The following is a 13,426-nucleotide window of genomic DNA, read 5'->3' as shown; positions in this document are numbered from 1 at the left end:
CAAGCATCTTTGAGATAAAACATCTCTCCTGGTTGTCCTTTTTTTTTTTTTCAACTTCTATTGATAACATTGTGGTCTAGGTCTTCATCACTCTAGGTTTAGTCTATTGCAAAAGTCAAAATTTGATTCCCCTTCCTCTAATCCATTTTCTTATAATACTGTCAGATTAAACATCTAAGAATTATAGTTTGTACCTATATGCTCTTAATACAAAAATCTTTTAACACTTCTGATATTCACAGAAAGATGGTTTGGAATTGAACTTATGTTTAAAAGGGAAGCAGAGCCTAAAAGTTTGGAAAATTTGCAGCCTGCTGGTGTGATAGAAAAGAAAAACCCATTTTCTGAGGAGAAATTCAAGCCGGCTGCAAGCTGCAGAACTTTGCATAAGTAACGAGAAGCCAAATGTTAATCGCCAAGATGGTGGATGTGAGACATGGAGTCAGAGGAGATTATTTTGGAACTTTAAGGTTTAATGACTGCCTTGTTGGATTTTGGACTTGCATGGGGCCTGTAGCCCCTTTGTTTTGGCCAGTTTCTCCCTTTTGGAGTGAAAGCCTTTACCCAATGCCTGTAGCCCCATTGTATTTAGGAAGTAACTAACTTGCTTTTGATTTTACAGGCTCGTATGTGGAAAGAACTTGCCTTGTTTCAGATGAGACTTTGGGGTTAATGCTGGAATGAATTAAGACTTTGGGGGACTGTTGGGAAGGCATGATTGGTTTTGAAATATGAAAGAGTCATGAGATTTGGCAGGGGCCAGGGGCAGAATGATATGGTTAGATTTTGTGTCCCCACCCAACTCGAATCTTGAATTGTAATCCCCATAATCCCCACCTGTCAAAGAAGAGACCAGGTGGAGGTAATTTAATCATGGGGGTGGTTTTCCCCATTCTATTCTTGTGGTAGTGAGTTCTCGGGAGACCTGATGGTTTTATGAGGGTCTCTTCCCAACTTCAGTTGGCACTTCTTCCTGCCGCCTGGTGAAGAAGGCGCCTTGCTTACCCTTCACCTTCTGCCATGATTGTAAGTTTTCTGAGGCCTCCTCAGCAATATTGAACTGTGAGCCAATTAAACCTCTTTCCTTTATGAATTACCCAGTCTTGGGCAGTTCTTTATAGTAGTATGAAAATGGACTAATACAACTTCTAATTAATTATCAAATAAAACCCACACTTCTTAGCTTGGAACATCCAGGTTATCTCCTTGTTGTCCCTTAAAAATTGTTTGTAGAGTTTAGTACCTTTGACCCCACTGTTTCTCTTCCTGAAATATAGCCCCCATCCCACCACCACTGTGTACAAGTACACACTATCCCATACCTGAGATTCCACCCAAATGTTAAGGCCAGCCAAAAAGTTGCCTCCTGCGAAAGATTCCCCAATTACTCATCTAAAAATATTTCAGCCTTCATGTGACATTCAGTGTCTACCCCACGTAATACAGTATACTATATTAATTCTGACTTTTAATCACATACATATATGATTTTTCGGAAGCTCTTGTGTGTATGTATGTGTATTATAGCTTCCCAATTAGATTTTAAGTTACTTCAGGGTAATTCTAATGTCTTCTACTTTATTTCTAAGTGCCTAAAATTACAGTAAGTGCCCAAACATTTTTTGTTGACTTTAGCAATAGAAGAATGACAGGCAAAGAACAGAGGCTGGGGAAGGGCTATGATTATAATGGTGTACTTTTTTTATTATTGTTATGATTAATAGCAATACAAATATTTGTAACAAATGCATATTTCTTTATACTGTTCCAAATGATTTTCTAATTAATCATTTCATTAGATGTCATGGAGGACTAGCTTAACACTAATAATAAGAGAACTGAAACAATCTATTCTTCAAATTTATGGAAATAAAATTAAACCCAATATATTTTGCTACCTAAGTCAGAAATAATAATTTTATTTATTTGTAGTGTCATACTTGAAGAGGTGAAAATTTGAAATGCACATAGTAGGAGCTTCTAAAATAAGTTTGGAAGCTAATGAACATGTAGCATGTGTACAGAAAGTTTGCATTGGAGTTCATGCTGATTTCAACATTCAAAACTAATCCTTAATTTTCAAACAGCCTTTAAATTTGAGCATTCTAATAGAAAAGGGTTTGGAAATAAATTATAAATAAATCAGATCCTAAATTTAAACATAGAGAGAATAAGTGAGAGACAGAGAGAGAGAGAGAGAGAGAGAGAGAGGAAGATAGAGAGAGAGAGGAAAACTCCCCCTGGCTTTTAGACCAGTGTCATAAAATTAAATAGCTCTAATAAAAATGTTTTAAGACTACATGCAAACGAGTTCTTTTTGCTCAAATCAAACCAGTTCAAGAAAATTTAGCCCTTTTAAAGTTGACCTCATTAATTTCATGATCTTTGGATTGCACATAGCATCCCAACTGTGCAGATTAGTTTGGACCTTTGAAACCCACCAGCATCATATATCTCTGAAGATTAAAAAAAATACAACATAGAACTCTGAACTTGTGTGATTAAAATGCAGGAATTTGTTCAAATAGCTCTTGCATGCGAGCTATAAATAATCATTTGAAAATATTCAAAAATAAAATAGGTATAATATAGAACAGTAACTAAGGGCTTCTTTTTTAGACATGGCTGCTCCTAAAGACTGGACATGGGGAATACTTCCTGTAAGTTTGCTGGGATAAATGTGTACATCTTTTTTCCGATGACCTTGACACTAACACAGACTAACAACCATTTTAAAACCATGATTACCAGCCTAGACAACATGATAAAACCCTGTCTCTACAAAAAATAGAAAAATTAGACAGGTGCATGGTGGTGGGTGCCTATAGTCCCTGCTACTCAAAAGGCTGAGCGGGGAGGAACACTTGAACCTGGAAGATCGAGGCTGCAGCAAGTTGTGATCCTACCACTGCACTCTAGCCTGGGCAGGGCAACAAAGACAGACCCTGTCTAAAAACGACAACAACAACAACAACAACCACCAAACAAAAGCAAACAAACCCAAGATTAGTTAATATCAGTAATCTCTCCTCATTTCTTATAAGCAAAAATGGTCATTTCTGCTGTTTTATTTTGGGAAGGCAGTGATAGCTAGATATTTACTGTCACCCACTGAGTTATACCAATTTGATTGATGCTACACCTTCTGTCCCTTTATTCATGAGAGTTCATTCCAACTACATGAGAAGTTTTCTATCTTTAAACTCATATTAGATTTTACATTTTTTCTCTAATATGCAGTTTTAATAACTAGATGAAAGGATAGTTTTAATTGAACTATTTTGTGTGTAGCTCATCAGAAAGACTGACTCTACAGCAGGTGGATTTACAATCTCTAGTACCAGACTACTTGGGCAGATCAAACTTTAAAACATCTTTTGCCTTTCATTTCAGAAATGGATTTGGATATTTTTTCCCCACCGTACGTTGGATGTAAAACTAGAAACCAACAAGAAATGTAAACAACATTCATGATTTGAGGTTTGAAATATTTGGGGGAGGTTCTCTGATTTATTTTGCTGGAAAAGTAATGTCACTCTACTGAGCACTACATCTCTTATAGTCATAAGAAGCACAATTTGTCTTCCTGGACTTATTCCTTTCTGATGGTTTCTGTGCTCCATGAACGATTACAGAAACGAGCAAATAGGTTTGGTATGTATAGAATAATGATGTAAGGGTTCAACTTCTAAGCTATGGCTTTGGATGCTGTGAATATTAAAGTCTGATGAATCTTTGCTAACAACTGTATTGCCAGAGCTCTGACTTCCTCTCTCAGAAATGCATCTTTTGATGAGAATTTCCTGTTTCATATGGAAGTCTTGATTTCGGAGCTATAGGGATTTTTTTTTTTCCTAAGATAGAAAATCATCAAACTGTGTTTACTGGTGTGTATGATGATAAACTAGTACTGTGGTCCCATGAAGAATAAATCCAATTTGTCTTTCAAGTATAGGGAACTATTTCACTTATTTTATTTCTTAACTCCTAGCTAAACAGGTAACTGGAAACACTTCTCATTGATTAAAAGAAAGAAAGAACCTCAGGCACAGACTTAGCATCTTGCTAAGATGTCCTCATACATGAGGAGGTGTTTAATACTTTCTCTCAAGCAAGCTAAAAGTTGTATTTTTTTCATGATTCAACAAAATGCCATATTGTCCTCTAGGTATAAAACTGATACTACATGTCATAAAATTTGCAAAACACGAATTAAACACCAAAGGAGTTCAGATACTTATATTTTTATTTTTTAAAAAGCCAGTCATTTGTGATAAGGATATGATAGTGTAGAGATTGAAAACAAAGGTCACTGAGATAAGTCAGGCTTATGGATCTTGTTAGGCCCTTTGGCTCTTGACCCGGAGAATTCTCTAATATTTTATAAATGTCTTTTCAGCCTTTTATACATAAATCCGGATTTACAGCTTTTCTTGAAAAAACAATTGGAGTATTTGGCAATACTTGGCCCACATTTCTGCATGGAAACAGGAGGTTGGAGCCGAGTGGGCCCCCTGCTCCATGTCTCTCTTGGCCTCCCCTTTCCCTAACATAGTCTTAAGTCCAGGATTCTTCACTTGTTTCCTTACCTGGTAGGCTCCTGTTGGCACCTATGTATGTGGCCCTTATGTTAAAGTGTTTCCTTATTTGGGATTTTTCTTTTAATGTGTGTGCTATTTATAATAGTTCTCTAAAAACCTTAAAATGATGGCAGGTGATTGAGATGTTTTCTACCATCATTTGTGAATAGACCGCACCCTACATATGGTATATGAAATGTCAAAGTCAGAAAGAGTCTTTCCAGGGTAGACTGGAGTATCATGCAGTGGAGTGACGTCAAAAGTGGGGATGATGTCTAGAGTCAGCAGGTAAGGCAAATGTTTGGGTAAACTTACCCTTGAAATGCTCTTAGGAAGTATTGCAAAACTGATATGCATCTCTCAGTAAGTCCAGGACAGCCAGTTTTTCCCTCCAGCTTTGGAACAGATAGATTATTTTTCCCTTTTTCAGTGGAGCACTAGATAATGTAACTGCATTGAATTTAGGTATGATATTATTATGTGCAATACATATCTCTAAAGACTAGAATACTCATAACTGCAGTGAGATGATCACTAAGAGAGGTGTGTGGGAGGTGAACTCAACAGAGGAAAAGACAGCGTCCCATTTTTCCACGCCGTGCTCACTCTTGGGCATATGCTCAGTGAGTGGACTGACAAGTGAAACAGTCATTCTGTTAAATTTTCTCTCTCTCTCCCTTTCCATTTCTGAGTGCATGTACTTGGATCTGAGGACATTTGAGTTTATGACTATGGTGGAAATACACTGATTCACACTATAAGATCCCCAGGCAAACATATACTTTGGTCACTTACTAAGTCGTTAGAACTAGGAAAAAACAAAGTAAAGACTGGGGGTTTGATTTCTGGTAAGAATTATTCACAGATAGAAAAATGATTAAACTAGTTAAGATATTTGTTGAGCCTCCCTGTGTGTGAGATACTCTGATAGCTATTTAGAATGAAAAGAGATATATTGGGACCATTTTTATCAGTGTTTTAAAGGCTCATACATTTTACAATCTTTAAGAAAAATTGAGAATCTGACAGAGAATTGCCAACTGTTTTATTTTGGCCACCGAGTGCATTTAAAAGAGAAAATATATTTAAACATAAAAGAGGAAGAAGGAGATAATCTCATAATAAAATATGTTTCTTTAAATTTAAAAGTAGCTTTACAAAAATCACTTCTGCCTCCTACCTTTTGGCTGTGAGAAACGTCTTCAAGAAACCAAAAACTTAAATGTGAAAATATGGCACATGCGTTTGAAAAGTTAATCAACTCGACAAGACAAGGGAAGGTTAAAAGTCAAATGCGCAGTAGAGAAGAGGCTTTTAGGAGCCAAAAGGAGAGTGAGTGAGCACTGGAGGTTGATGAAGGGTTTAGGTTTTCAATCATGATAACAGGTGCTCCCTAAATGCCTGCTGACTGACTGAATGCATCTATTAATGTATTGGGATGGCCTAATCTGGGAAGGCTTCAGAGAAACTGTACAATTTGGGCTGGACTTGGGGAATTCATGAATGATTTGGACAGGAGACCAGGGCAAGGAGGAAATTCCAGTTTCTGGCAAGGATGAAACCACGGGTGCAAAAATGTTCAAAGAAAGGTGCCTAAAGAGGGGTCATGTCTCTCTTCTCTTCAACTCTTTCTTTGTCCTAAAATGGCAGTGATCTAATGAATAAAGTGAATAAAAATTTAGCAATTATTTATTACATGTTGAGATATACTACAATTATGGACACGGAATCTTCAGGTAAAAGAATCTGTAGATAAACAAACACACTTATGATCTCAAATGTTTCACAATTATGGCTTTGCATCATGGCTATATTCATGTAGATAACTGTATACATAGGAGTAGGGAAATTATATCAATTGGTGTTGTTGTGCTTTTTGGCGATCCTCAGGCAATGTCACCAGCTAAGGATATGTGTATGGGGAGGGGTGTTGGTGGTAAGGAGAAAAATATATGGTAGCATAAGAGAAAAAAGAATCCCAGAACTGAATTATGGGTAGTTATACATCTATATAGAGCATCTTCAAAATAAATTTTAGTCTTACTGCTTTATGAAACAGATCAGAGGATTTGAGAGAACTTTCACTACAATTTAAGTTTCTTAAGAAACTTAAGAAGGCAATTGTTTTTAAATATCCCTGATCTACTTTTAAAATTCTGAATTGAAATACAGAGGAGAAAAAAAAATGTTCTGAAATTGTTCAGTTAACCACAGCCAGGTCTGACAGAAATAGCAAAGCCACACCCAGAGAGTTCAGAGCCTGCTAGTAAGTGATTGAAATTTTCATGTTAGCTATCACCCCTCTTCTGATTGGTGGTATTGTCAGTGACAAGACAAGCAGACTATGGTATTTAGATGACTTTATGACTAATTGTCTCCTTATGAATTTTGCTCACTTCTTTTTATTATATCTTTACACCCCACCCTTGTCTAAGGGGTCTATGCAATAGCTTGGTTTTTCCAATCCAATCTTGAAGCCCCTCTAATTCTTTTTTTGCTTAGCAGCCAAAGCAATTTTTTAAAAAACATATAAACTGGATCATGTCTCATCCCTATTTCATGTCCTTCAAAGGGTTTTCGAGATTCTTAGGATAAAGCTCAGCCCAATTATCCCTACTCTGAGTGACTCAAGTCCTACTTCTACTTTGTTTCCTAGCCTACCACTCTCTTTCTACTCAGGATTTATTGAAGTGTGGTACTTGATTGACCATATCATAATTATGTTGTCATTTTAGATCTACTGTCTAAGAATTTTTATATGTAGACAATTAAGCAAAATTCCTAGGCAATTCTGATATAAACTAGAATTAGAAAACCACTTCACAATTCCCTATTGACATGGCCTTTTCTCTGTTCTTCAAATATGTCAAATTTTTTCCTATTTTGGAATCTTTAAATGTGCACCCTTTGTCTGCAATGTGGACTTTTTTCCTCTTGTTCCCAGATTAATTTCTAATTATGATTAAGCTTGCAATTTATGTTACTCTCTCAGGAATGTTTTCCCTTAGGCTCCCAGAATAAATTATATCTTCTTATGGCTTCTCCTTGCTTCCTGTAAATTTCTTTCATGTTATTTGGAATGTCGACAATTAAATAGTTATTTATGTATTTATACGTTGTATTTCCTCTACTAAACAATATGCTCCCTGAAGGCTACAATTTTATCTCTTTTCTTTTTTTTCTTTTCTTTTTTTTTTTTTTGAGACGGAGTCTCGCTCTGTCGCCCAGGCTGGAGTGCAGTGGCGCGATCTCGGCTCACTGCAAGCTCTGCCTCCTGGGTTCACGCCATTCTCCTGCCTCAGCCTCCCGACTAGCTGGGACTACAGGCGCCCGCCACCACGCCCAGCTAATTTTTTGTATTTTTAGTAGAGACGGGGTTTCACCGCGTTAGCAAGGATGGTCTGGAACTCCTGACCTGGTGATCCACCCGCCTCGGCCTCCCAAAGTGCTGGGATTACAGGCATGAGCCACCGCGCCCAACTAATTTTATCTCTTTTCTTATAAGGGGTGACTAGGTTTTATCATTTTGTATTAAGCGTTCTGTTTACACTCCTAGTGCAGCTGGTGACTGCCTTAATCTTAATCCTCATATCACATTGTGCTACAATTTTCTATTTCTTCTTGTCCTATGTTAAAATGTGTACTTCTTTAGGGAAGAGACCAGCCACTTTTTCTTTATTATTCTGATAACATATGCATAACAAAATGTACCATATTGATAATTTTAAGTGTACAGTTCACTGGTATTAAATACATTCATAATGTACAACTATCATCACCATCAGTTTCTATAACTCTTTTTATCTTGCCAAAGCTGGAACTTTATACCCATTAACTAATAAAGCCCAATTCCCTTCTGCCACCAGCCCGTAAAAACTACCATTCTACTTTGAGTCTCTGTAATCTTGAAGTACCTCCTCTAAAGGGGATTGTCTAGTACTTGTCTTTTTTGTGACTGGCTTATTTCAGTTAGCATCATGTCCACAAACTTCATTCATGTTGCAGCATATGTCAGAATTTCCTTTTTTCCTAAGGCTGAATTATATATATATAAAATATGTGTGTGTGTGTGTATATATATACGTATATATACATATATACATATATATGCACACATATATATACACACATGTATATATACATATATAAATACATATATAACACAGCTTTGTTTGCTGTGGGCTTCTCATATCTGGCATTTAGTGGGTTGAGATAGTTTCCTTCTATTCCTAATTTGTTGAGTTTTTTTTTCATCATAAAAGAGTGCTTTTTTTTTTTTTTTTGCCAAATGTTCTTTCTGCATCAATGGAGATAATTATATAGTTTCTGTCTTTCATTCTGTTAATATGGTGTATTATGTAGATTGATTTTCATATGTTGAACCCTTTTTGCATTCCAGGAATAAATCCCACTTGATCCTCGGGTACAATTCTGTTAATGTGTTGCTGAATTAGGTTTGCTGATATTTTGTTGAGGATTTTTGCACCAATTATTATAGGGAATATTGGTTTGTAGTTTTCTTGTAGTATCTTTGTGTGGCTTTGGTATCAAGAAGGTATTGGCTCATAGAATGAATTAGGAAGTGTTTCCCCCTCTTCAATTTTGTGGAAAAGTTTGGAAAATTGGTGTTAGATATTCATTAAGTGGTTGATAAAATTATCCGTGAAGCCATCATATCCCAGGCTTTTTTTATTGGGAGGCTTTTGATCACTAGTTCAATCTCTTTACTAGTTATAGGTATATTCTGATTTTTAATATTTTATAATTTGGCCTGGGTAGATTGTGTGTTTCTAGGACTTTGTCCATCTCATCTAAGTTATACAATTTTTGCCATACAATTGTTTGTAGTACTCTTTTATAATCCTTTTTATTTCTGTAGAATCTGTTGTAATGTCCCCACTTTTATTTTTGATTTTAGTAATTTGAGTCTTTTCTCTTTTTTTAGCTCATCTAAGTGTGAAACTTTTGTTGATCTCTTAAAGAACCAGTTTTGACTTTTATTGATTTTCTCTACTGTTTCTCTATTATTTATCTGTTTTATCTGTGCTCTAATCTTTATTATTTCCTTACTTAAGCTAGCTTAGCCTTTAGTTTGTTCTTATTTTTGCAGTTCCTTAAGTTGTAAAGTTAGGTGTTGATTTGCTATCATTTTTTTTTATTGAGTTTATAGCTATAAATTTTCCTCTTTGTCCTGCTTTTGTTGCTTTTTATTATTTCTCTTATGCTGTGTTTTCATTTTCACTTGTCTGTATTTTTAATTTTCCTGTGACTGGTTTTTGGATCCATTGATTGTTTAAGAATGTGTTGTTAACCTCCACACATTTGTCAGTTTTTCAGTTTTATTTCTGTTACTGATGTCTATCTTTATCCAGTTGTTGTCAGAGAAGATAATTTGTATGATATCTATCTTTCAAAATCTATTGAGACTAAGTTGTGGCCTAATGTGTGGTCTGTTCTGGAAAATGTCTCAAGCACACTGGAAAATAATGTGTGTGTTATTTTTCTTGGGTAGAATGCTCTGTATCTACTTTGTAAATCTAGTGGATTTATTGAGTTGCTTAAATCTTCTGTTTCCTTACTTATATTATGTCTGTTACATCGTTATTGAGAACAGAGTACTGAAAACAGTACAACTATTTTGAGAGAAATGTCTATTTCTCTCTTCAATTCTATCAGTTTCTGTTTTATGTATTTTGATGGTCTCTTACTAGGTGTAATAATGTTTCTCATTTTATATCTTTTTGCTATATTAAATCTTTTATTTATATATAATTACCTTGTCTCTTGTAAACTTTTGAAATTTAAGTCTATTTTATCTGATATTAGTAATAGTCACCCTTGCTCTCTTTTGAGAACTATTTGTACATCTTTTTCCATCCTTTTACTTTCAATGTTTTTGTGTCTTTGGTTCCAAAGTGAGATTCTCGTAGACAGCATATAGTTTGGTCATGTTTTTAATTCATTCTGCCAATCTACAACTTCTGATTAGAGACTTCAAACCATTTACCTTTAAAATAACTGCTAATAAAGAAAGACTTACTTCTATCATTCTGCCTTTTGTTTTCTATACGCCTTATAGCTTTTCATCTCTCATTTCCTGCATTCCTATATTGTTTAGTTGATTTTTTTATAGTAAAACATTTAAATTTCTTTCTTATTTTTTATGTATGTTCTATAGCTATTTTCTTTGTTTATGATGAGAGTTATATTTAACAATGTAAAGTTATAGCATCCTAATTTGAATTTATAGCAGCTCAACATCAACAACATACACAAATTCTGCTTGTTAAACAGCTCTATCTTCACCCCTTTCAGTTGCTGATATCACAAAATTATATCTTTATACATCGTATGCTTCTAAACACAAACTCATACTTCTTTTAAATGCATCAATCTATTAAATAATGTAGAAAACAGCATGTGAAATTAAAATCAATGTTACAATGGTACTAGCTTTTATAATTGCCCACGTATTTACCTTTACTGAGGTCTTTATTTTTCCATATGGCTTTGAATTATTGAGTTACTGTCTATCATCCTTTCACTTCATCTTGAAAGACTCCTTTGATCATTTCTTGCAGGGCAGACAGAGTAGATATTGAAATCTCTCAGCTTTTGTTCATCTAGGAATATCTTAATTTATCTCCTACTTTTAAAGAAGAATTTTACCAGATATAGGATTCTTAGTTTTTTTTTCTTTTAGCACTTTGAATATATTGTCCCATTGCCTTTGTCCCATTAAGTTTTGAGGAAAAATCTGCTGATGGTCTTATTGAGATTTTCTTACTTGTGACAATCACTTCTCTCTTGCTGCTTTCAAGATTCTCTCTGTGTCTCTGGCTTTTAAAGTTATATTGTGATATGTCTTGATGTGAGTCTCTTTGAGTTAATCTTACTTAGAGTTTGTTGACCTTCTTGGATGTTTCTATTCATGTCTCATCAAATTTGGAAAGTTTTGTTCCGATATGTCTTCAAACATTCTCTACTCCATTTTCACTCTCTTCTACTTCTGGAACTCCCACCACATGTATGCTGGCCTGCCTGATAGTGTCTCACTATTCCTTAGATCTCGTAGGTTCTGACCACTTTTCTTCAATCCTTTTTCTTTCTGTTTTCTGTTTTTTCTCAGACTTGATAATTTCCATTGTTATTTTTAAGTTCACTGATCCTTTCTTCTCCCTTCTTAATTCTGCTTGTGAATATCTGTAGTGATTTTATCATTTCACTTTTGTTCTTTTCAGCTCAAGAATTTCTTTCTGGTTTCCTTTTAGGTTTTCTATCTTTTTAATCAATATTTGCATTTTATTGATACATTGCTTTCCTCACTTTCTCTACATTTTCCTTTAGCTTTTTGTGGATCTACCACCATATTTTTTCAAGGACAGTTTCTGTTGCTTTATTTTTTCCTTCTGCATGAGCCATATTTTCTGTTTCTTTGTATATCTTGTAATTTTTTCTTGAGAACTAGATATTTGAATCTAATAATGTTGTAACTCTAGGAATCATCTCTAAGGCTGGCTGTTTTTTGTTATTGTTTTTATTTTCTTTTATTGTTATAGGCTGTATACATGCCAAGGATCAGCTGGAGATGTAAAGTAAAGATTTAGTTAGGGTATTTCTGAGCTTACACCTTTCCCTGGGCATGTGTGGTCACTTTCTAATTTTACTCATTTGTGCAGTGGCTTTTGACTGTTGTTGTTAATGTCTGGGCCCCAACAAGGGAAAATGGGTGAGAAAGAGCACACTGGCCCTTTACATTCCCTGAAAGTCACTCCATCTTGAGGAGGAACAGCTTACTAACAATGGGAATATATGCAACAAAAATGCCTGCTTTCTTCTCTGACCATACCTCTATGATCAAAAGCAGCAATCACAGATGAGAGCACAGATTACCAGTATCAGAAGACAGCATCCTTTGGAAGACTTGGTCTCCTGAAAGGTGTGTGAAGGTTGTTCCAGAAGCACATACACAGCTGCTTGCTGCAGAGGTAGGAGTAGGAGCTGGGTAGCTGCTATTGTCTTAATCGCTGAAATTAACTGCAATTTACTACTCAAGCCTTTCCCTGGAAGTTGTAAGCCTTCAACAGACTCCATAGTTCCAAAATAGTTATATTGGACAGATTCTATTGTTGTCTAGGTGAGGAGACATATTCCTGTTTCCTACTTTTCCATCTTTCCAGAATCCTTTCCTGAAAGCAACCATATTTTTTTCTTCAACTTTTAAGCTCAGGGGTACAGGTGCAGGATGTGCAGGTTTGTTACATAGGTAAACGTGTGCCATGGTGGTTTGCTGCACAGATCATCCCATCATCTAGGTATTAAGCCCAGCTTCTGTCAGCTATTCTTCCTGGTAATCTCCCTTCCCCTACCCTGCTGACAGGCCCCAGTGTGTGTTGTTCCCCACCATGTGTCCATGTGTTCTCATCATTTAGCTCCCACTTATAAGTGAGAACATGTGATGTTTGGTTTTCTGTTCCTGTGTTAGTTTGCTGAGGATAATGGCTTCCAACTCCACTCATGTCCCTGCAAACGACAGGATCTCATTCCTTTTTATGGCTGCATAGTATTCTATGGTGTATATGTACCACTTTTCTTTATCCAGCCTAACACTGATGGACATTTAGGTTGATTCCACGTATTTGCTATTGTGACTGTTTGGTATATAACCAGTAATGGGATTGCTGGGTCAAATCATATTTTTGCCTCTAGGTCTTTAAGGAATCACCACACTGTCTTCCACAATGATTGAACTAATTTACACTTTCACCAACAGTGTAAAAGTGTTCTTTTTCTCTGCAACTTTGCCGGCATCTATTGCTTCTTGACTTTTTAATAATAGCCATTCT

This window comes from Homo sapiens, chromosome 1, assembly GCF_000001405.40.
Source record: "Homo sapiens chromosome 1, GRCh38.p14 Primary Assembly".
Taxonomy (NCBI): domain Eukaryota; kingdom Metazoa; phylum Chordata; class Mammalia; order Primates; family Hominidae; genus Homo; species Homo sapiens.
Note: the sequence above shows the minus strand (reverse complement) of the source record.